At 42.8% G+C, this 23,478-nt stretch overlaps 1 long non-coding RNA gene across 1 annotated transcript, besides 2 other annotated features; it reads left to right on the top strand.

The window, feature by feature from the left end:
* Positions 1-75: 75 nt before the first annotated feature.
* LOC107985743 (uncharacterized) lies at positions 76-15,201 on the top strand. The gene is made up of 3 exons (XR_002958333.2): positions 76-259; positions 1,261-2,075; positions 15,120-15,201. It is a non-coding gene; the product is annotated as an uncharacterized LOC107985743 (long non-coding RNA).
* Positions 8,427-9,034: an enhancer, noted in NCBI's record as "NANOG-H3K27ac-H3K4me1 hESC enhancer chr1:90217723-90218330 (GRCh37/hg19 assembly coordinates)". NCBI's record gives its function as "activates a minimal SCP1, AML or CMV promoter by ChIP-STARR-seq in naive H9 embryonic stem cells {active_cell/tissue: H9 hESC(naive)}" and the evidence as "EXISTENCE:reporter gene assay evidence [ECO:0000049][PMID:30033119]".
* Positions 18,997-19,497: an enhancer, noted in NCBI's record as "H3K4me1 hESC enhancer chr1:90228293-90228793 (GRCh37/hg19 assembly coordinates)". NCBI's record gives its function as "activates a minimal SCP1, AML or CMV promoter by ChIP-STARR-seq in primed H9 embryonic stem cells {active_cell/tissue: H9 hESC(primed)}" and the evidence as "EXISTENCE:reporter gene assay evidence [ECO:0000049][PMID:30033119]".

Consider the following 23,478-nt stretch of genomic DNA (forward strand, 5'->3'; position numbering starts at 1 on the left):
GGCGCCAAAGCTTATGAATCTTGGAATATAGTCAGCTACAATCATGGGTTATTCTCCAAATGAAGAGTCCAAACACTGGCAAAATAAAAAGCACATTTGGTCCATCACATTCCTAACTATAATGGATGCTGAGAAATGGATGCACTGTAACAACCCGCAAGTTTCCTGGTACTGCTGCTGTCATTGCAAAACCATTGCAAAGTATCCATCTCTTGCCTCTGCCAGAAAAAGCCAGCCGTTAACAGAAACTAAACCCAAGGTCACTTACTTTCACATAAAGAGAATATTTTGGCAGCTGCCAAAATTCATTTTTCTAATGTGCACTTACCCAATAACTTAAGCTTGGCATCCTGGGCGGAATCCAACTTGGGTAATTCCATTTTCACAACCGAATTCCCCCAAGGAGTTTGAGCTGAACATCACATTATTCTTCACTTCTCCAGCTATCCTCTCAGTAATCAAACGAGTGCTTTTCATCCCTGAAGCGTCATGGAAATATAGGGGTGGGGGTTCAAAAAAGGGTTTCTTCTTAAGAATATAGTGATGAGAGGTTCCGTTATACGAACTTAGTAAAGTCCTTTGGAAGTCAAGACTGGTTTCATTTTTTTAATTATTATTTATTTATTTATTTTTTGAGATACAGTCTCACTCTGTCACCCAGGCTAGAGTTCAGCGGCGCAATCTTGGCTCACTGCAACCTCTGCTTCCTGGGTTAAAGTGATTCTCCTGCCTCAGCCTCCTGAGTAGCTGAGATTACAGGTGTGTGCCACCACACCTGGCTAATTTTTTGTATTTTAGTAGAGATGGGGTTTCACCACGATGGCCAGGCTGGTCTCAAACTCCTGGCCTCAAGTGATCCACCTGCCTCAGCCTTCCAAAATGCTGGGATTACAGGCATGAGTCACTGCGCCCAGCCTGGTTTCATTTATTTAACCAACAGGTATTGAGGTTTGTGCCAAGTGCTGGTCTCAATATTGCAGGTGCAGCAGGACATAAGAAAAGGTTTCTGCCCTCAAGAAGTAAATATTAGAATAAGTATATGAAATAGGGCTGGAGAGAGACACAGGAATCAGACCATTAAGGCCATGATATGGAGTTTGGATATTATTATAAGTACAGTTGGAGAGTATTAGTGGAGTGATGATCAGATTCAGGGTTTTTAATAAGATCACTGTGAAGAGGAAGAGCCATTGTACAGGATACCTGTGGAACCAGGGTCTTAACCTTCTGTTGTTTTCCATTGGAATCTAACCATTCTAGGAGTCAACACAGCTATGGCCAGATTTTCCTCCTTGCCATTCTTCAAACAGCCTTGGATTCTCGGTAACTCAAGAACCAAAGAGTCCAAAGCCATGGTTTGACCACATGGATCATCAGCACCGCTCCACGACTGATGCTGCTTTCCCTTCTTCTCTAGCCAGCTGTACTTCGTGAGCTTCCTTTGGTCATTCAGGACACCAGAAACAAATAAACTAAGAAGCATTAGTTCATCTCCATGAGCTGCTCCAAGAGCTTTAAAAGTAGGTCAGTTGCAAAGTCCAGGAGCAGAAGTATGTGTACATATATGAGACTTATTAAATGGTGGCATTCTGGGAAGAGCATCACCACTGATAAAGAATCATTGAAACTTTCTATTTCTGTGAACAGTGGTAAATATAAATCTTAAAATCATAGAATCTGAGAGTGGTAGAGGACTTCAGTGATCATCAAGTCCAACCTCCCACCCAAGGTAGGATTATTCTATGTGGCCCTGACAGGGAGTCTAATGTCCTATATCCCTCCCATATCACATAAAAACATCAGAGGAGTCAGTTTAAATGCACACTGTTCTGTTGGCTAGGGAAGGCCATCGACTGTGACATCTATTGCCCAAAGTTGCAGTCTGAAGGGCCAAATAGCAGATAGAAAAAGTTATGTCTTAAAGAGGGGTAAAGGTCACAACCTAGAAGGAGAACACCAAATAAGCTTGTCAATCTCAGCACCAAGTTGGAAGAAGGTTATCAAGTATACAGAGCCAGAAAAAGAAGATACCCAAGATGCTGATGGGTGACAAATATGGACTAAGTGGATTGGAGGTGAGCACATTTGGAGGGATTTCTGCAGGTTCTCATGATAAATTGTTTATGTAGTTCTCACACAGATTTATATAATTGTGCCAGGTACTTTTGGAGGATCTAGAAGGGAACTTCTGTCTTGCTTCTGCTAAATGATCCCTGTCTCACACGGTAGCCCATTCCATCATTAGGAAGTGCCGACAATCAGAATATTCTCCACACCCTCTTCCCTCTGGCCATAGATCTGTTCTTGAGTGACACGCAGAGCAAATCTAAATTTCTTTTTCTCATGATGACCTTTCAAATAATTAAAGCAGATCCTATGTTCCCGTTCAATATTTCCTGCTCTAGGCTACATCTCCCCTGATTCCTTCAACTGTTCTCAGATGATGTAATTTTGTAGCTTCCAAACTTTCAAGTTGGAAAGGGCCTCAGAAATTCAAGTACAGATCTCCCTCTTTGCCCGGGAGGAAGATAAGGTTTAGAGAGAAGAAATGCAGCTTTGGGTAGAGGTGGGGAGTAGATTTTGCCCAATGTCATCTGGAAGTGGCAATTTCAAAACTTAAACCTGAATCTCTTCATCTGAAGTCTAGTGTTTTCCCCATGTCTTTCAACAAACCTCAGGATCCTACTCACTTTCCTCTGGATTCATTCCAGCTTCTCAGTCTTCTTCTTTAAAGGGAGCCCCTTTTGTTGAACCCACCAGCAGATGTGCTCTAGCCAACCAAGAGAACAAGGGGATTGTTATCGATTTTATTGTAAACTTCATACATCCATTAATGCTGCTATGATTACTTTAGATTTCTTTGGCAGGCCCTGGGATTCATACTGAGCATGTGGTTAACTAAAACCATTTGTTTTGTGTGGTTTTCTTTTACTTGAAATGTGTCAAGGAAGGTATTTTCCACCTTGTACTAAAATAGTTCATTTTTAATTTAACAAAAGTGTAGGACTTTATATTTAATCTTCCTAAATATCTCTTTGTTAATTTAGTATATCTTTCCACCCGGTTGAGATATTTTTGAATTTTAATTCTATCAAACATATTAACTAACCATCCATGTTTTATGATATACATAGATTCAATAAGCACACTGTGGCAAAGACAATTCTTGCCAAATATGCCATGTACTCCCTTGCTTTACCCAAACGCTGTTGCAATTGGGTTGGAGCCATGTGACTTCCTCCAGCCAATGGATGGTGAGTAAAGGTGATGTCATTTCTGGGCCAAGGTATTTTTTTTTTTTTATTATACTTTAAGTTTTAGGGTACATGTGCACATTGTGCAGGTTAGTTACATATGTATACATGTGCCATGCTGGTGCGCTGCACCCACTAACTTGTCATCTAGCATTAGGTATATCTCCCAATGCTATCCCTCCCCCCTCCCCCAACCCCACCACAGTCCCCAGAGTGTGATATTCCCCTTCCTGTGTCCATGTGATCTCATTGTTCAATTCCCACCTATGAGTGAGAATATGCGGTGTTTGGTTTTTTGTTCTTGCGATAGTTTACTGAGAATGATGGTTTCCAATTTCATCCATGTCCCTACAAAGGACGTGAACTCATCATTTTTTATGGCTGCATAGTATTCCATGGTGTATATGTGCCACATTTTCTTAATCCAGTCTATCATTGTTGGACATTTGGGTTGGTTCCAAGTCTTTGCTATTGTGAATAATGCCGCAATAAACATACGTGTGCATGTGTCTTTATAGCAGCATGATTTATAGTCCTTTGGGTATATACCCAGTAATGGGATGGCTGGGTCAAATGGTATTTCTAGTTCTAGATCCCTGAGGAATCGCCACACTGACTTCCACAATGGTTGAACTAGTTTACGGTCCCACCAACAGTGTAAAAGTGTTCCTATTTCTCCACATCCTCTCCAGCACCTGTTGTTTCCTGACTTTTTAATGATTGCCATTCTAACTGGTGTGAGATGATATCTCATAGTGGTTTTGATTTGCATTTCTCTGATGACCAGTGATGGTGAGCATTTTTTCATGTGTTTTTTGGCTGCATAAATGTCTTCTTTTGAGAAGTGTCTGTTCATGTCCTTCGCCCACTTTTTGATGGGGTTGTTTGTTTTTTTCTTGTAAATTTGTTGGAGTTCATTGTAGATTCTGGATATTAGCCCTTTGTCAGATGAGTAGGTTGCAAAAATTTTCTCCCATGTTGTAGGTTGCCTGTTCACTCTGATCGTAGTTTCTTTTGCTGTGCAGAAGCTCTTTAGTTTAATTAGATCCCATTTGTCAATTTTGGCTTTTGTTGCCATTGCTTTTGGTGTTTTGGACATGAAGTCCTTGCCCACGCCTATGTCCCGAATGGTAATGCCTAGGTTTTCTTCTAGGGTTTTTATGGTTTTAGGTCTAACGCTTAAATATTTAATCCATCTTGAATTGATTTTTGTATAAGGTGTAAGGAAGGGATCCAGTTTCAGCTTTCTACATATGGCTAGCCAGTTTTCCCAGCACCATTTATTAAATAGGGAATCCTTTCCCCATTGCTTGTTTTTCTCAGGTTTGTCAAAGATCAGATAGTTGTAGGTATGCGGCGTTATTTCTGAGGGCTCTGTTCTGTTCCATTGATCTATATCTCTGTTTTGGTACCAGTACCATGCTGTTTTGGTTACTGTAGCCTTGTAGTATAGTTTGAAGTCAGGTAGTGTGATGCCTCCAGCTTTGTTCTTTTGGCTTAGGATTGACTTGGCGATGCGGGCTCTTTTTTGGTTCCATATGAACTTTAAAGTAGTTTTTTCCAATTCTGTGAAGAAAGTCATTGGTAGCTTGATGGGGATGGCATTGAATCTATAAATTACCTTGGGCAGTATGGCCATTTTCACGATATTGATTCTTCCTACCCATGAGCATGGAATGTTCTTCCATTTGTTTGTATCCTCTTTTATTTCCTTGAGCAGTGGTTTGTAGTTCTCCTTGAAGAGGTCCTTCACATCCCTTGTAAGTTGGATTCCTAAGTATTTTATTCTCTTTGAAGCAATTGTGAATGGGAGTTCACTCATGATTTGGCTCTCTGTTTGTCTGTTGTTGGTGTATAAGAATGCTTGTGATTTTTGTACATTGATTTTGTATCCTGAGACTTTGCTGAAGTTGCTTATCAGCTTAAGGAGATTTTGGGCTAAGACGATGGGGTTTTCTAGATAAACAATCATGTCGTCTGCAAACAGGGACAATTTGACTTCCTCTTTTCCTAATTGAATACCCTTTATTTCCTTCTCCTGCCTGATTGCCCTGGCCAGAACTTCCAACACTATGTTGAATAGGAGCGGTGAGAGAGGGCATCCCTGTCTTGTGCCAGTTTTCAAAGGGAATGCTTCCAGTTTTTGCCCATTCAGTATGATATTGGCTGTGGGTTTGTCATAGATAGCTCTTATTATTTTGAAATACGTCCCATCAATACCTAATTTATTGAGAGTTTTTAGCATGAAGGGTTGTTGAATTTTGTCAAAGGCCTTTTCTGCATCTATTGAGATAATCATGTGGTTTTTGTCTTTGGCTCTGTTTATATGCTGGATTACATTTATTGATTTGCGTATATTGAACCAGCCTTGCATCCCAGGGATGAAGCCCACTTGATCATGGTGGATAAGCTTTTTGATGTGCTGCTGGATTCGGTTTGCCAGTATTTTATTGAGGATTTTTGCATCAATGTTCATCAAGGATATTGGTCTAAAATTCTCCTTTTTGGTTGTGTCTCTGCCCGGCTTTGGTATCAGAATGATGCTGGCCTCATAAAATGAGTTAGGGAGGATTCCCTCTTTTTCTATCGATTGGAGTAGTTTCAGAAGGAATGGTACCAGTTCCTCCTTGTACCTCTGGTAGAATTCGGCTGTGAATCCATCTGGTCCTGGACTCTTTTTGGTTGGTAAACTATTGATTATTGCCACAATTTCAGCTCCTGTTATTGGTCTATTCAGAGATTCAACTTCTTCCTGGTTTAGTCTTGGGAGAATGTATGTGTCGAGGAATGTATCCATTTCTTCTAGATTTTCTAGTTTATTTGAGTAGAGGTGTTTGTAGTATTCTCTGATGGTAGTTTGTATTTCTGTGGGATCGGTGGTGATATCCCCTTTATCATTTTTTATTGCGTCTATTTGATTCTTCTCTCTTTTTTTTTTTTATTAGTCTTGCTAGCGATCTATCAATTTTGTTGATCCTTTCAAAAAACCAGCTCCTGGATTCATTGATTTTTTGAAGGGTTTTTTGTGTCTCTATTTCCTTCAGTTCTGCTCTGATTTTAGTTATTTCTTGCCTTCTGCTAGCTTTTGAATGTGTTTGCTCTTGCTTTTCTAGTTCTTTTAATTGTGATGTTAGGGTGTCAATTTTGGATCTTTCCTGCTTTCTCTTGTGGGCATTTAGTGCTATAAATTTCCCTCTACACACTGCTTTGAATGCGTCCCAGAGATTCTGGTATGTTGTGTCTTTGTTCTCGTGGGTTTCAAAGAACATCTTTATTTCTGCCTTCATTTCGTTATGTACCCAGTAGTCATTCAGGAGCAGGTTGTTCAGTTTCCATGTAGTTGAGCGGCTTTGAGTGAGATTCTTAATCCTGAGTTCTAGTTTGATTGCACTGTGGTCTGAGAGATAGTTTGTTATAATTTCTGTTCTTTTACATTTGCTGAGGAGAGCTTTACTTCCAACTATGTGGTCAATTTTGGAATAGGTGTAGTGTGGTGCTGAAAAAAATGTATATTCTGTTGATTTGGGGTGGAGAGTTCTGTAGATGTCTATTAGGTCTGCTTGGTGCAGAGCTGAGTTCAATTCCTGGGTATCCTTGTTGACTTTCTGTCTCGTTGATCTGTCTAATGTTGACAGTGGGGTGTTAAAGTCTCCCATTATTAATGTGTGGGAGTCTAAGTCTCTTTGTAGGTCACTCAGGACTTGCTTTATGAATCTGGGTGCTCCTGTATTGGGTGCATATATATTTAGGATAGTTAGCTCCTCTTGTTGAATTGATCCCTTTACCATTATGTAATGGCCTTCTTTGTCTCTTTTGATCTTTGTTGGTTTAAAGTCTGTTTTATCAGAGACTAGGATTGCAACCCCTGCCTTTTTTTGTTTTCCATTTGCTTGGTAGATCTTCCTCCATCCTTTTATTTTGAGCCTATGTATGTCTCTGCACATGAGATGGGTTTCCTGAATACAGCACACTGATGGGTCTTGACTCTTTATCCAACTTGCCAGTCTGTGTCTTTTAATTGGAGAATTTATTCCATTTACATTTAAAGTTAATATTGTTATGTGTGAATTTGATCCTGTCATTATGATGTTAGCTGGTGATTTTGCTCGTTAGTTGATGCAGTTTCTTCCTAGTCTCGATGGTCTTTACATTTTGGCATGATTTTGCAGCGGCTGGTACCGGTTGTTCCTTTCCATGTTTAGCGCTTCCTTCAGGAGCTCTTTTAGGGCAGGCCTGGTGGTGACAAAATCTCTCAGCATTTGCTTGTCTGTAAAGTATTTTATTTCTCCTTCACTTATGAAGCTTAGTTTGGCTGGATATGAAATTCTGGATTGAAAATTCTTTTCTTTAAGAATGTTGAATATTGGCCCCCACTCTCTTCTGGCTTGTAGGGTTTCTGCCGAGAGATCCGCTGTTAGTCTGATGGGCTTCCCTTTGAGGGTAACCCGACCTTTCTCTCTGGCTGCCCTTAACATTTTTTCCTTCATTTCAACTTTGGTGAATCTGACAATTATGTGTCTTGGAGTTGCTCTTCTCGAGGAGTATCTTTGTGGCGTTCTCTGTATTTCCTGAATCTGAACGTTGGCCTGCCTTGCTAGGTTGGGGAAGTTCTCCTGGATAATATCCTGCAGAGTGTTTTCCAACTTGGTTCCATTCTCCCCATCACTTTCAGGTACACCAATCAGACGTAGATTTGGTCTTTTCACATAGTCCCATATTTCTTGGAGGCTTTGCTCATTTCTTTTTATTCTTTTTTCTCTAAACTTCCCTTCTCGCTTCATTTCATTCATTTCATCTTCCATTGCTGATACCCTTTCTTCCAGTTGATCGCATCAGCTCCTGAGGCTTCTGCATTCTTCACGTAGTTCTCGAGCCTTGGTTTTCAGCTCCATCAGCTCCTTTAAGCACTTCTCTGTATTGGTTATTCTAGTTATACATTCTTCTAAATTTTTTTCAAAGTTTCAACTTCTTTGCCTTTGGTTTGAATGTCCTCCCGTAGCTCAGAGTAATTTGATCATCTGAAGCCTTCTTCTCTTAGCTCGTCAAAATCATTCTCCATCCAGCTTTGTTCCGTTGCTGGTGAGGAACTGCGTTCCTTTGGAGGAGAGGCGCTCTGCGTTTTAGAGTTTCCAGTTTTTCTGTTCTGTTTTTTCCCCATCTTTGTGGTTTTATCTACTTTTGGTCTTTGATGATGGTGATGTACAGATGGGTTTTCGGTGTGGATGTCCTTTCTGTTTGTTATTTTTCCTTCTAACAGACAGGACCCTCAGCTGCAGGTCTGTTGGAATACCCTGCCGTGTGAGGTGTCAGTGTGCCCCTGCTGGGGGGTGCCTCCCAGTTAGGCTGCTCGGGGGTCAGGGGTCAGGGACCCACTTGAGGAGGCAGTCTGCCCGTTCTCAGATCTCCAGCTGCGTGCTGGGAGAACCACTGCTCTCTTCAAAGCTGTCAGACAGGGACATTTAAGTCTGCAGAGGTTACTGCTGTCTTTTTGTTTGTCTGTGCCCTGCCCCCAGAGGTGGAGCCTACAGAGGCAGGCAGGCCTCCTTGAGCTGTGGTGGGCTCCACCCAGTTCGAGCTTCCTGGCTGCTTTGTTTACCTAAGCAAGCCTGGGCAATGGTGGGCGCCCCTCCCCCAGCCTCGCTGCCGCCTTGCAGTTTGATCTCAGACTGCTGTGCTGGCAATCAGTGAGATTCCGTGGGCGTAGGACCCTCCGAGCCAGGTGTGGGATATAGTCTCGTGGTGCGCCATTTTTTAAGCCGGTCTGAAAAGTGCAATATTCGGGTGGGAGTGACCCGATTTTCCAGGTGCGTCTGTCACCCCTTTCTTTGACTCGGAAAGGGAACTCCCTGACCCCTTGCGCTTCCCAGGTGAGGCAATGCCTCGCCCTGCTTCGGCTCGCGCACGGTGCGTGCACCCACTGACCTGCGCCCACTGTCTGGCACTCCCTAGTGAGATGAACCCGGTACCTCAGATGGAAATGCAGAAATCACCAGTCTTCTGCGTCGCTCACGCTGGGAGCTGTAGACCGGAGCTGTTCCTATTCGGCCATCTTGGCTCCTCCCGGGCCAAGGCATTTAAGAGACAATCTGATTCTTCTATTCCTCTATTCCCCTGATGCAGAGACCTTGAACGCCATATGTTCTAGACATAACTGTAGGTGGAGCTTACATGAGCCCGTGGCAATACATTAAAGACATTTGACTATATTCTATTAATTCAAATTTGTATCAGCTACAAATTCATTTCCACCCAAAAACATCATTAAAGATTTAGGTAAATGTTGAATATGTCAAATTAGCTTGATTTAGCCATTCCACAATGAATACATATCAAAACATCGTGTTATACACCATATGTGTATGTGTGTGTGTATATGTATATATGTGTGTGTGTATATATATATGTATACATATAGTTTGGTTGGTTTTTTTTTTTTTGAGATGGAGTTTTGCTCTTGTCACCCAGGCTGGAGTGCAATGGCATGATCTCGGCTCACTGCAACCTCTGCCTCCCAGGTTCAAGTGATGATTCTCCTGCCTCAGCCTCCCAAGTAGCTGGGATTACAAGCGCCCGCCACCAGGCCCAGGTTTTTTTTTTGTTTTTTTTGTTTTTTTTTTTAGTAGACATGGGGTTTCACCATGTTGGCCAGGCTGGTCTCAAACTCCTGACCTCAGATGATCCACCCGCCTTGGCCTCCCAAAGTGCTGGGATTACAGGTGTGAACCACTGCACCCAGCCTAGTTTTTATTTATCAATTTAAAAAATATTTTAGTTAACTGCCTTGTTAAAATCTAAATACATGAAATCCCAAGAACCATGGTAATCCACTAAAGGTGTATAAGCATGGGCATGATATGATCAGATTTGCATTTTAAAGATGCATCTGGGTGGGGAGTGATTGGAGGGAACTAAGACTAGGAGCAGGGAGAAGAGCTAAGAGGCTGGTTCATGAGCATTTGAAAAGGGAACTGTGGTTATTGGAGCCAATGTGAGCTCACTACAACAAAGTTCTGTCAAAGTCACCTCTTTTTATTTTTGCTAGTGTTGCTAGACTGGTGTGTTAGAGAGATGACAAAGTTCATAGTCCTGAACTTCTTGCCTGCTGCTCAGTTTTGTCCTGCCACTCAGGTTTGTCCTGTCCCATTCTCCTTCTCTGTCCTCTAGCCACATGGACCTCTTTTGGTTTACTTCTGTGTCTTGAGGAGTCTCTCGGATGCTTTTGCAGAGGCTCTTCCCTCTGTTTAGAATGCTTTTCTACCCTGTCCTCTTTTCCAGGCTAATTTCATGCTTTAGATCTCAGTTTTTTCAGAGAGACCTCCTCTGATTCCCCAAAACTAAGTTAGATCCCCTTGCTTAAATCTTCATTGCTCCAACCCCTTTCAAAGCATTCAGTGCCACTGTAATCACTTCTTACAAAATCACTTTTTCTTTTGACACTAAAAATTCCTTGAGTACAAAGGCCACTTCTGTTGTGTTTACCATTAGGAACTTAAAATAGTGCAAAGTAGGTGTTCACATTTGTTATATAGGATTATCTAATCATTTGTTCTGGAAATGTGTCAGAAACCTGTGCTAAACCATGTGAACTACAGATTTTAGAATCTTTTTGTTCTTTGCCCTTCTCCAGATTCTGAGCATTTCCTCTTTCTTGCAGCATTTTTCAGAGATTACTGACAGTGGTTCTGTGTTGCAACAGCAAGTTCTCTCAGTTGTCTGGGTTGTCATTGCTTTAGTGCAGGGATCAGCAAACTGCAGTCCAGCGCAAATCTGGCTAGCAGCCTATTTTTGTAAATAAAGTTTTATTGGAACACAGCCATGCCTATTTGCCTATTTCCAAACTGTCGATGGCTGCCTTCACACTATAACAGCAGAGTTGAATAGTTTCAACCAAGACCATATGGCCTGCAAAGCCTAAAATATCACTTCTATAGAAAAAAATTGCCGACCCCTAGTCTAGTATAAATATTTGAGCTCATTTAAGACAGCTAGTGATTTCTTTGTATTACCTCATCAATATTTGACTTCTTTTCATCTTTGCCCATCTTTGATCTGCCTTTACAATTTGGAAATTATTCTATTGAAGAATTCAGAACAAAATCAACAGCTGCTGCCCATAGTCATCTGCTGACGTAAATCTTCTGCCCCATGTGGTGCCTGCTCCACGTTGTTCTCTTTGCTCTATATATGTCTAACAAAGCCCATTTTATTGCCCTTAGAATTTTTATAAAATGTATTTCACACTCTGCTTCTTTTTGCAGGTTATATTCTGTCTTTATTATGCACTCCTCCTTCCTACAATTCTTCATGACCCTTTAAGAACTCACCAAAGAGCTCTCTTGGTAGCCAGACACTCCCTTTGTTCAGAATCACTTCCACTTGTGTTATCGGAATTTTATTTTTGAAAGTCATCTATCTCTCATTAATGAGTCTTTAGATCAGGTCTTTAGATTATACCTGTGAGTTTTTCTTTCTCTTTTTCTGAAATATCCAAATGTTTCCATGAGAGTTTTGAGGGCATGTCAGAAGTCCAGATATCCTTAGCCATTTCAAACTCTCGGATGACAATCCATTCCACTTCTATTCCTCCTCAACCAGTTATTCTGCTTGGTCAGTGTTATGGTTACATTGTAGTCCCTCAAAAAGATATGTTGGACCCCCAGTACCTCCAAATATGAGTTTATTTGGAAACAGGGTCTTTACAGAGGTCAAGTTAAACTGAGGTGAAAAGGGTGAGTGTCTGTGAGCACAGGGTTCTGGGAAGCATAGAGACAGATGCCTGACTCAGAGTCTGAAGGCTGGGAGGTAGAGAGGAACGCCTTGTGGAGAAACTTCTGTTTCAACTGAGACCGAAAACAGTGAAGAGTGTTTAGCAAAGGCACCACTAGCAGTGCTCTGGAGGAGCTGGAGCCTTCCCTGTGATTTCTGTTATTCCCCGCACCCCATCCCCAGCAACCTAATAGTAAAAACTAACATTTATTGATATTCATGTACCAAGCACAGTAATCAGAAGATAACTTAACAGTCATTATTTTATTTAATCATCGCAAGAATCCTGATATTACTATCCTAAGTCCATAGAAAGAGAGACTGAGATACATGGAGGCTAAGAACCTTGTCTGGGATCACTAAGCTGAGTGAGACACCTAGCACTCGAACTCAGGCAGGCTGCTTGCAGGAGCTGTGCCCTTATCCTACGTTTCCTGTGAAGGAAAGGAGCTTACCTGCTCTGCCAGGCAACTTTGAAACATGTCCTCTAGCATCGTTCTACCCACCTTAGCGCTTCAAATAGATGGCCACCACTAAGGCCCTCCTTTAGAGAAATTCTAGAATGCTCTTGAAAATGAGCCAAACAAATAAAAGAAGTATGGGAAGTTGGGAGAAGGGAGGAATCCTCAGGCTCTTCAGAGGAAGATTTTTTTTTTTTTTTTTTAGACAGGGTCTCACACTGTCACCCAGGCTGGAGCGCAGTAGCACGATCACGGCTCACTGCAGCCTCAACCCCCCTGGGCTCAGGTGATCCTCCCACCTCAGCCTCCTGAGTAGCTAGGACCACAGGCATGCACTACCACACCCAGCTAATTTTTCTATTTTTTGTAGAGATATGGTTTTGCCATGTTGCCCAGGCTGGTCTCAAACTCCTGGGCTCAAGTGATCTGCCCACCTCAGCCTCCTAACGTGCTGGGATTACAGGCTTGAGTCACTGTGCCTGGCCAGCAGGAAGATTTTTAATAAGAGCAAATAGCTAGAAAGTGGGCTGGGGTCGAAAGTTCCTCAGCCCCGATCCTGTCCTACTAGGAAAGTGCTTCTCAGCAGAAAGGATGAGACTTACTAACATCATTCACATGTAAGAGCATGTCCAGGGACACATTCAAGATATGCCTAAGAGCAGGGTCTGGGCGGATGAGCCTCAGCTGACCCACTGGTCACTCATTTCATCTCTGACTCTCCCCTTGCCTGCTCTCTCTCCATCTCCCCAGCTTCTCTTCTGTGCTACTCAACCTGCCCCACAAGCCACAAAACAACCTGTTAATGTTCTTGGCCTGCAGTTTTTCAGATCTTAACAGGTGAAACTTCAGGGTCAAAGCCTCATAGCACAGCCCCAGACCATCCTCACCCCACTGCAGCCATTCAGGATGGCCTCACAGAAGCCTGCAAGGAAATCAGTTCCTGGCTGGAATTAAATAACAAGGAGCCTCTAGAAATCAAGATTTGACACTGACAACTGAAGAACTTAAGTCACTGGGGCATAAGACAGCATGACAGACGCTACCCCAGTCCTAGGCATGCGGACTTGCCTCGAGCACACTGTAAGTGTTCAGACAGCTTTGGACAAATGCTGTCTTGAACTGCCAGATCGTACCTTCGTATTTAAGAGACCATTGCTCGGCACAACATGGCAGCTAATATTTAAAACAAATGGTAAAGAGGAAAGGCAATCATTTCCTCACTAAATGAAAAAGGAGATATGAATCTGAGGAACACAATCCGGCACTGATTGAAAGTAAATTACCAGTTGATTAGACGGCTGTAAATTCAGGGAGAGAAGCCTCAACCGGCAGCTGGATTTTGTAAGGAAGAGGGCAATTAGAGAGGGCACAGGCGAGGCAGAGCACAGAGAGGGCTCTGCACAGAGCAGACAGGGCAGCTTTGCAACACTAGGATTACAAAGGCAGGAAGGGGTTTGTAGGAAGTGTTCTGTGGATGGAGCCTGCAAGAAAGGGGAGCTCCCCACTCCCACTCGCCCTGCCCCACCTCCCTAGTGAGCAGGAAGAGGTTAAACTGCCAGTTCCCTGTCTAGCAGCAGTTAGGACGGGTGTTTGTTATTGCAACACAGGAAGTATCACGATTTCTCTTCCTTTTTCAGGCTGTACTCAATCTAGAAGCTTTTTGCTTCCTATCAAAAGCCAGGGACTTGAAAACTACTCAGGTCCCTGCAGCCCACAGGGACAAAGTTCATGCAGATTTCAGTGGGAGATGCCATCTCCGGATAGCAACTGGGGCCAGTTTTTGCAGATGGCAAGCGCTTAAAGATGCAAGCCTCCATGATTACCACGAACTGAGAAATCTCTGCAATTAGCAGGAGTGTAACTGGAAAACCAAGGGCTCCTCTGTGCCTTACCAAAAGACATTCCCTCTTCCTCTGGCAAGTTGAAGAAGATAATTTGGCCAGCCTAGGAGGAAGTGATTGATTGAGACAGAAATGGTGGAGAGAAGGATGACTGTGATTTTTACTTTGGTGATGGGCATGAACATAACAAAGAACAGATGGTGGATGCCTTAGTCCCACTGGTGTTATCAATTCCGTAGCCCTGAGCCCTGCCCTGCTACAGGCTTATGTAATTCTCAAGCATGTGCTCTCATGGCCCAAGGGGAGACTATGCAGCACAGACCCTCCAGCTGCGAGGTTAACTCATCAATGCTCCACCCTTGTCATCTTTGGGTTCCAGCACTCAGGCCCTGGATATGCCTCTCACCAGAAGTGAACACTTGGTGGGGGCTGCAATAGACCCAATGAACACATCAGCTGCAGTTTGCATCTAAAAGAAATGATTCCAATGTAACATGACAGGGGACATATGAGACGATGAGTAAACAATAGAGAATAAAAATAATGGAGGAAGAGTTGAGGAAAAGGTCTCCTTTGGGCTAGGATAAAGTCATTTCCTTAGCCAGATCTAAGGGTTTAACTCTTAATTTGGAGGCACCAAGAAGTTACAACACAGTGCTACTTGAAGCTTATTTTATAGATAACATACTTAACTGTTAACAGATTCAGTTAGCTGTTTACAGTTTAGTTAACTGGATATAGTTCTCAACCCACATGGGGTCAGTCATTTTCAACAAATCTTTTTATTTTCTCTATAGAATTCAGAGTTCAAGAGCTCCTTAAAGGATACACAAAACTGTCATCAGTAGTTAAGATTTCGGTGGTCTGGGGGTGAATTCCAGGTAAGTAGTCCCTCTTATCAAATGTCTCTTTAACAATGCTTGCAGCTATCTTGATGTGACAACCATCACAAAAGCAAATATTAATCAGATCACTAAAGGGACACAAATAACCGACACTAGCCAAGAAAGAATTCAAATATATTTTTGAACTAGTTTGGGGCCAACTTTTGTGTGAGAAGAGGAATTGAGTTCACTTCATCTGGTGTTAACTGAAATAAGAGTTAATGTGCCAAATATCTTCATCAGTGACTAAAACTAAGACCACAGATTAGAGTGCCAAAGGGTGTAACTAGAAGGAAGTGTCAGCATTGCAGAAAAGAATGCAAAACCAGGAGGATCTCATGTGAAGGGCTGGCTGCCTAATGGATAAGAAATATGGCCAGAACACAAGGAAGGAGACTGGCGAGTAATAAAGCTGAATTTAAAGGCTCTCAACAAAGCCACCTTCTCTTGCAGGATTACCACTCCTCCTGCTGCTCTCAGGACAATTCCTGAGCGCGCTGGTGAGAGGCTATGTTCAATCATCCCCAGGGTCCTTCAGCTCTTCCTTCCCTGTTGAAGTAGAAATGAAGATCAATTTTACTTAAGTAAACATTTGGTTCTCACAGCCATAAGAGAGAAAGTTCGGTTCTCAGAGAAGTACGTACAACTTACTTCTCTTAAGACAGCTCCGTTTTCCTAAAGACAGTTTATGAACCCCCAAGAACCTACAATGTTCCCTGGAGCCAGTTTAAAGTGTTGAGTCCTCTCTGGTTCTAGGATTCTAGAAGGATCAAAGTTTATTAACAAATCATATAGCAACTACGACTGCCCAACTTTTCCACACAGTTTCTTCTCCGTAACCAGATCATGTTAATGTAATTACTATCAAAATTTAAATAAGTTTTTTTCATAGACATAGACAAGCTTACTCTAAAATTTATATGGAAAGGGAAAGACCCAAGAATTGCAAAAAACAAAAAAAAAAAAAAAAAAAAAAAAACTTTAAAAACAAGAATAAAGTGGGAAGAATCACGCTTCCAAATGTTAAGGCCCTATATATAAGTGCTGTATCCAAACAGTATGGTATTGGTAGAGGGAACAGGCAAAGCAATCAATCAGTGGAACAGAATAGAGAACACAGATATAGACCCACTCAAAATTCCCATTAATTTTAGACAAAGAAGTAAAAGCAATGCAATAGAGGAGAAACAGCCTTTTCAATAAATGGTGCTGGAGCAATTGGACCTAAACCAATACCAAAATTAACTCAAAATGGATAATTGACTAAAACATAAACATACAACTATATAAGAGAAAAATCTTTGGGGTGTAGGACTAAGCAAAGTTCTTAGACTTGACACCAAAAGCATGAGCCATAAGAAGAAAAATTTATAAATTGGATCTCATCAAAATTAAAAACTTCTGTGAAAGACCTTGGACAAAGGATCAAAAGACAAATTACAGACAGGAAGAAAATATTTAGAAATTACATCTCTAAGAAAGGTCTTGAGTCTAAAATATATAAATAACTCTCAAAATTAAGAAAAGGACTGCTTTTGTTTGAATGTTTGTGTCTCTCCAAAACTCATATGTTGAGATCTAAACCCCAAGGTGATGGTATTAAGAGGTGGGACCTTTGGGAGGTGATTAGGTCATGAAATGGAGGGCTCATGAGTGAGAACAGTGCCCTTATAAAGGAGCCCAAGGGAGCTTATCTTCCCTTTTCACTTAGTGAGGACGCAGGGGAAAAGAACTGTTCTAGGAAACAGGAAGTGAGCACTCACCAGAAACCAAATCCAATCTTGGACTTCCAGCCTCCAGAACTGTGAGAATTAAATTGCTGTTGTTTATAAGTCATCCAGTTTACAGTGTTTTGTTATAGCAGCCTGAGCAAGCCAGACAAGGGCCCAAGGCCTCCATCAGCACCACGTTTTATGATATGTGTTCTGTGAACCATCTGACTTCGGATCTTAGAGGAGGAGGTAGCAGAGGGATTGGTAAAATGCCGATTCCCATGGACTGCTCCAGAAATTCTGATTCCATAGATTTGGGCAGGACCTGAGAAATCTGCATTTAAAACAAACTCCTTGAGAGACTTTTTTTATTATTATTAAAGTTTGAGAACTCCCACCATGGCCCAATCTACCAAATTATAAAGGAAGAGCATGCTGGGCATGGTGGCTCATGCCTGTAATCCCAGCACTTTAGGAGGCTGAGGCGGGTAGATCACTTGAGATCAGGAGTTCGAGACCAGCCTGGCCAACATCGTGAAACCCCATCTCTACTAATAATACAAAAATTAGCTGGGTGTGGTGGTACGCGCCTATAATCCCAGCTGCTTGGGAAGCTGAGGCAGGAGAATTGCTTGAACCCAGGAGGCAGAGCTTGCAGTGAGCTGAGATCGCACCACTGCACTCCAGCCTGGGCAACAGAGTGAGAGTCCATCTCAAACAAACAAACAAAAAAGAAGAGCAGCATTAGAAAGAAAACCTGTACTGGGACAGTTGTGCCCTAAAGGGGCAAGCAAAAAGAAAGGGAATAAAGACTAGCAACAACCCAGAAGTGCTGTGAACAACAGTTTCTAAGAAGTGACCATTCTCTGTATTTATTAGGATGTGAAAGAAATGAAGTTCCCTCTCTCACACACACATTCGAGAATACAAGTCTGAGGAGAACCTGCTCTGGGTGAAGAATTTTTTTTATAATTCTCATATTCATGCTCAAGGAGCATGCACTCCTAGGCATATATTCACAAGGGGCTATGAGAGCCCTGGAGAGACCAGGTACTCTGAGGGTAGGACACATACTTTAGCAACTTGGGGGACACATTCTCAAGCTGAAATGGTGTCTCTGGAGCCCATACGAGTTGTGCCTGTGGGGGCCCCACAGACAGGGACCCTTGGCATTGCTGATAATTGAAGGGTCTGCCACAGAGGTCTCTAACATGACTTTCTACCACCATCTTTCCTGCTCACTTGCACATCAATAGACACACAGGTATATTGAGCAGCAGCTCTTCCTCACCTTGTCATCAAACAGTCTGTTTCTGCCTTCACCATTTTGCATCTGACCTTTCACAGGTAGCAAGAGAAGAGTCTAAGGAGCAGCAGGCAACGTGCTGAAGTGCAGAGCCAGGTCAAGGCTGGGTTTGTCTGAGCAGCTGGTGAGTAAGAGAGCTGTGACCAGGGCTCTGAGAAATATGGACAGGGGCCAGCCTGACAAAGACAACAAAGAACTGCCCAGGGGAAGGTGAAGAAGGTAACTGTCAACCCTTCAAAAAGTGAAATGGCGTTAGTAAGATGAAGGCCAGCCCATAAGAGATGCCAGCCAAGATGGAATAATGCGCAGATTTTCATCTAAGGGTGGGAATGACCTGTCGGCCTGATCCAGGCACACTGGCTTCTGAGATTCCCTTCCTAGCCCTGCCCACACACCCCCCACCCGACGCCCTTTCCCCAGCCTAGGTCCCTGAGTTTCTCATTCGTTGCTCACTTGTGTCTATTGTATGTCTTCTTCGTCAAAATCGAGCAGGGACTAATTAGCGGTGAAAGCAGAGACTCCAGCTCATTTCCGTTCACCTCATTATTTGTTTCTCTTTTGGGCTGAAGCCAAACAACAATCAAACATTAACATTCCCCCTGCAGAGCGGGCACACGGACACATGGGAGCATGTTACACACACCACACCCTCACAGCGTGCACACATGCACATGCACACACACACACCTGCTCCACTGCTATTCGGCTGTGCGAGGTCTCTGCGGCCCCGCTGTCTCCGGGCATCTAGGGTAACATCTCTTTCCATTTCAGACCTGGGACTGGTCTGAAACTGTATAATGGAATGGCCCTGGGCAAGCAGGGAAAGGACGTTGGGAATTTCCGGAAGCACAATCCCCCTGGCCAGCACTGGTGTTAATTAAGGGCGCTGCTGGTGTTTTGCAGGCAGCTGTTTCCTCCTCCGGCCCTCCTGTTCCCCGGGCCGCCTGGGCACCGGCGCCTGCACTCTGGCATTCATTGCTCTACCGTAAGCCTTGTTTCTAGCCGTTTTCAATCAAGTGGGAGACTGTCCAAATTTCCGTCTCAATGAAAATCAACTGTTCTAAATCTAAGCTCCCATTAAGCGTTCCAGGGGCTGGCCTGACTTGGAATTTAAGCAGCAGCGCAGCCCTCCCTGGAGTGAGCGGCGGCCGGGGCTCCAGATAAGGCGGGCCTGCCTCCTAGTGGCCAAGGTGCTGCAGGGCAGCTCTGAGGGCTGGAGGGCTGCGCAGCCGCCACCCGAGGACACGGGGAGGAGGCACAGTAAGAGAATCCTTAGAGCCTAACGCCCCCTTCTCCGTCGCTCTCGAGCCGCTCCAGTCCCCAAGTCCCATCCCCTTTCCTTCCCCGACATCTCTCCTCGTTGCCTCACTCTGGCTCCGTCGAACTGCAGTGGTCTGTTAGCTGGACTCTATCTCCAGCTTCTGTATCGAATCCATGCACCTCGCTGCCAATTCGTCTTCCGGACGCTCGTTGTCAGTCCTCTGTGATCTCTAATTAAGGCTCTGCTGAGTCTCCTCTTTATCTATAGGGAGAATCCTCAAGCGGGGAGACACACCCTTCCTGCAGAGGCGTATCGCCAGCCACGACAAGGCGAGCCGCGTTTCTCCCCACACTCCCCAAAAAGGCGATGACCCTCCCCAGGCCGCGCTCACGCTGAACCCCTGTTGCTGAGCTGCAGTTCCTGGAGGTGTCCTGTCCTCAAATGTGGGGATGCGGGGAAAAGATTAAGAAGGTAAAAGTTCAAACCAGGCAAAAGTTCAAACCTCTTGGCACTCCACAATGTGGCCTCAAGCTTCCCTTCTAGCTTTAGTGCTAGAGTAGAATGAAATGAAGGGTTGGAATGCCAGGTGTGCTACGTTTTAGTCATGGAACTGTATGAAAGGTTCTAAATTCTAAATGTCTTTACAGGGTTGTCATGGAGACTAAAAGAGGTCGCCGGAGTATCAAATTTAGCACAATGCTTGCCACATAGTGAATGTTCAATAAATGGCAGCTGTCATTTTCCTTCCCCCGTTAGAAAGACAACTGGTTTGCTCACAGTTCTGATACCGGCCTTGAACTGAACTTTCCATCTCTGCACCTCGGCTTTTGACACCCTATTTGCCTGGAGCGTCCACTATCACCACTTTGGTTAAAGCTACTGTCACCTCCTGCAATAGACTAATTCATCTCCCTGCTCCTGCCCACAGTTATTTTTAATCTAGCCACCAGAATTTTTTTAAGTGTAAATCAGATTATGTCACTCATCTGCTCAAACCCCTATTGTAGCTCCCTATTTCACTCGGTGTAAAAGCCAAAGCACTCACCATGTCCTGGAGGCCCTACATGATCTGGCTCTTTTCCCCCTTCATGTTATTTCCCATACCTTTCTCCCTTGTTCACTCTGTTTCTTCCACAATGACCAATTGCTTTTGCTGGAAAGCACCAGCAATTTATTAATAGCCTTTGTGTTGGCTTTTCCCTCTACCTAGAATATTTTCCTCACATACCTGCATAGCTCTTTCGCTTACTTTTTCATGACTTTGTTCAGTTGTCACCTTCAAAAAAAAAAAAAAAAAAAAAAAGCCAGCCAGGCATGGCGGCTCATACCTGTAATCTCAGCACTTTGAGAGGTGAAGGCAGCAGACAGCTTGGGCCCAGGAGTTCCAGACCAGCCTGGGCAACACGGCAAAACCCCATCTCTACAAAAAATACAAAATATATTTTTCGTAGAGGACGGTGGCACACACCTATAGTCCTAGCTACTTGGGAGGCAGGAGGACTGCTTGAGCCTGGGAGGTTGAGGCTGCAGTGTGAGCCATGATCATGCCACTGCACTCCAGCCTGGGCAACAGAGCAAGACCCTGTCAAAAAAACAAATAAATAAAAGCCAATCCTGACCACATATTTAAAATTTCAAACTGCTCTACTTTCCCCCAGTACTTCCAATCCCCTTTATCTTGCCCAACTTCTCCTTTTCCATAGCACATACCATATTCCTTACTACCTTCTAAAATAATATATATAACAAAGCCAACCATTGGCAAATAAATCTCTCATAATTTGCTGATGGGAGTGTAACTTGGTACAACTACTTTGGAAATCTTTTAGAGAGTATCTACTAAAGCTAAAAATACTTTATTTTACTCTTGTATATAAATCCAACAAATTGCAAATCCAACAAAAAGGAGTACTTTTTGTCAGATTTATTTTGGTCGGTTCTGTAAATATAATATGTTATATAATATATAATAAGATATATACTTATATATTAGTCACCTACTCATATAGCTATATAATCATATAATTTATGATCTAATCATATCACATATAATAATCTTAATTACTTTAATCATTTCACTAAACTAGGAACAACCCAAATGTCAATCTACAGTAAAATGAATAAATTTTGATTTTTTTCAAACAATAAGTACACAGCACTAAAAAATAAGTTATTCATGGTATTCATTAACAACATGAATGAGTCCAGAATCTAATATTGAGCAAGAGAAGTTGGAAACCAAAAAGTACCTCCTATATGATTTAATTGATTTGAAGTTCAAGAAAGGCAAGACTTCAATGATAGAAGTCAGAATAGAGCTACTTATTTCTCTAATTGGGATATAACCTAATCTTTCTGAAAACAGGGAGAATATTCATCTTGCAGGACTGCTGTGAAAATTGCAGATAATATATATCTAACATCTAGTACCAAGTTCCTAGCACAGAATATTTGCTAACGAAATTATTGTTTGTATTCATGTGTGTTCTTAATTCATGTTAGTTTGATAATTGCTAAGTAAAAAGATAGTTTTACTCAACCCAAAGGTTCTGGTTGCATCTGCCATTTGTTGCCACCCAATAGCCATATCCCTTTTATTCCTTACTAATAAAATCCATATTCTTTCTCAGGACAGCTATGTGCCCAGTCCTGAAAGATAAAGCATGACAAGTCTAAGCCAATCAACAAACTCTCATACCCTTTTGCCAGATATTCACTTTCCCAACTCCTCCTTGCAGCTAGGGGTGCCCATGTGCCCAGTTTTGGCCAATGAGATTTAAAGAGCAATTCTGATAGGTAATTGCTTAGGAAAGATTTCTCCTCTTTACTGAAAAGAGATAGACACACACTATCTAGCTGCCTCCTGTTTTCTGCCTTTGAACAAATGATTCCCAGAGCTGTGACAATCATATTTTTACCTTAAGAATCGTAAAGATAGTGACAGAGTCCTAAAATAACAGAGTTATCAGTCACCTACCTTCAGACTTTTTGTTCTAAGAGTTAATTATCTTTATTATTTAAGCCACCATTAGTTAACTATTATGTTACATGTAGCTGAAATCATTCCTAACTGTGACTGTTCCCTTATAAATTACTAGTGTACAAAAGAGAATCATAAACTGATAAGACATCTTACTGGGCTCTCTTTAATTTTCCCAGTGTCTTCATGGTCCTTTTTTCGTAAGTCTCTTCCTTACCCGTTTACTAAAATGTCATTTTCTAGTCAAACATCTTTCAATGGCATATGAACTCACTAATAAGACCAATAACTTTCCAAAGGCCTTTAGGGCTAAGACATACATTTAAAACTCAGGGAAATTCTACACCGTTGCTGACTCCTGTTGGAGGTTGACCAACTGCTAAACTCTGACAGTAACACATATTAACCTGCATTTGCCCACAAGCACACCAGTGTGCCAATTCTGTAAATGTAAATACACTGTGAGCAGGTGGTCCATCCAAGCAGGGCTCATTCCTGGTTGGCAAGGCAAATTACTATGATGTTAATGAAGTTCTAGGACCCCTCCCTTTCATGAGCCCTTTTCATGCTTGGGGCCCGAGAAATGTGTTCCCATAGTCATAAGCTTTTGTAAAACTTGGGAGCTATGTTAACTACAATCGGTTAAGACCTCTGTCTCTTTCCTCTCCAGCTTACCCTCTGTTACACTTGCTCTTCTGTAGGGTGGTCTTTTTGTTTGTTTGTTTTGGAGACGGAGTCTCGCTCTGTCACCCAAGCTGGCATGCAGTGTCATGATCTCAGCTCACGGCAACCTCCGCCTCCGGGTTTCAAGTGATTCCCCTGCTTCAGCCTCCCAAGTAGCTGGAATTACAGGCACGCACCACCACACCCAGTTAATTTTTTTTGTTATTATATTTTTAGTAGAAACGGGGTTTCCCCATGTTGGCCACGCTGTTCTCAAACTTCTGACCTCAGGTGATCCGCCTTCCTTGGCCCTCCAAAGTGTTGGGATTACAGGCATGAGCCACTGCGCC

Source organism: Homo sapiens, chromosome 1 (genome assembly GCF_000001405.40).
Source record: "Homo sapiens chromosome 1, GRCh38.p14 Primary Assembly".
Taxonomy (NCBI): Eukaryota; Metazoa; Chordata; class Mammalia; order Primates; family Hominidae; genus Homo; species Homo sapiens.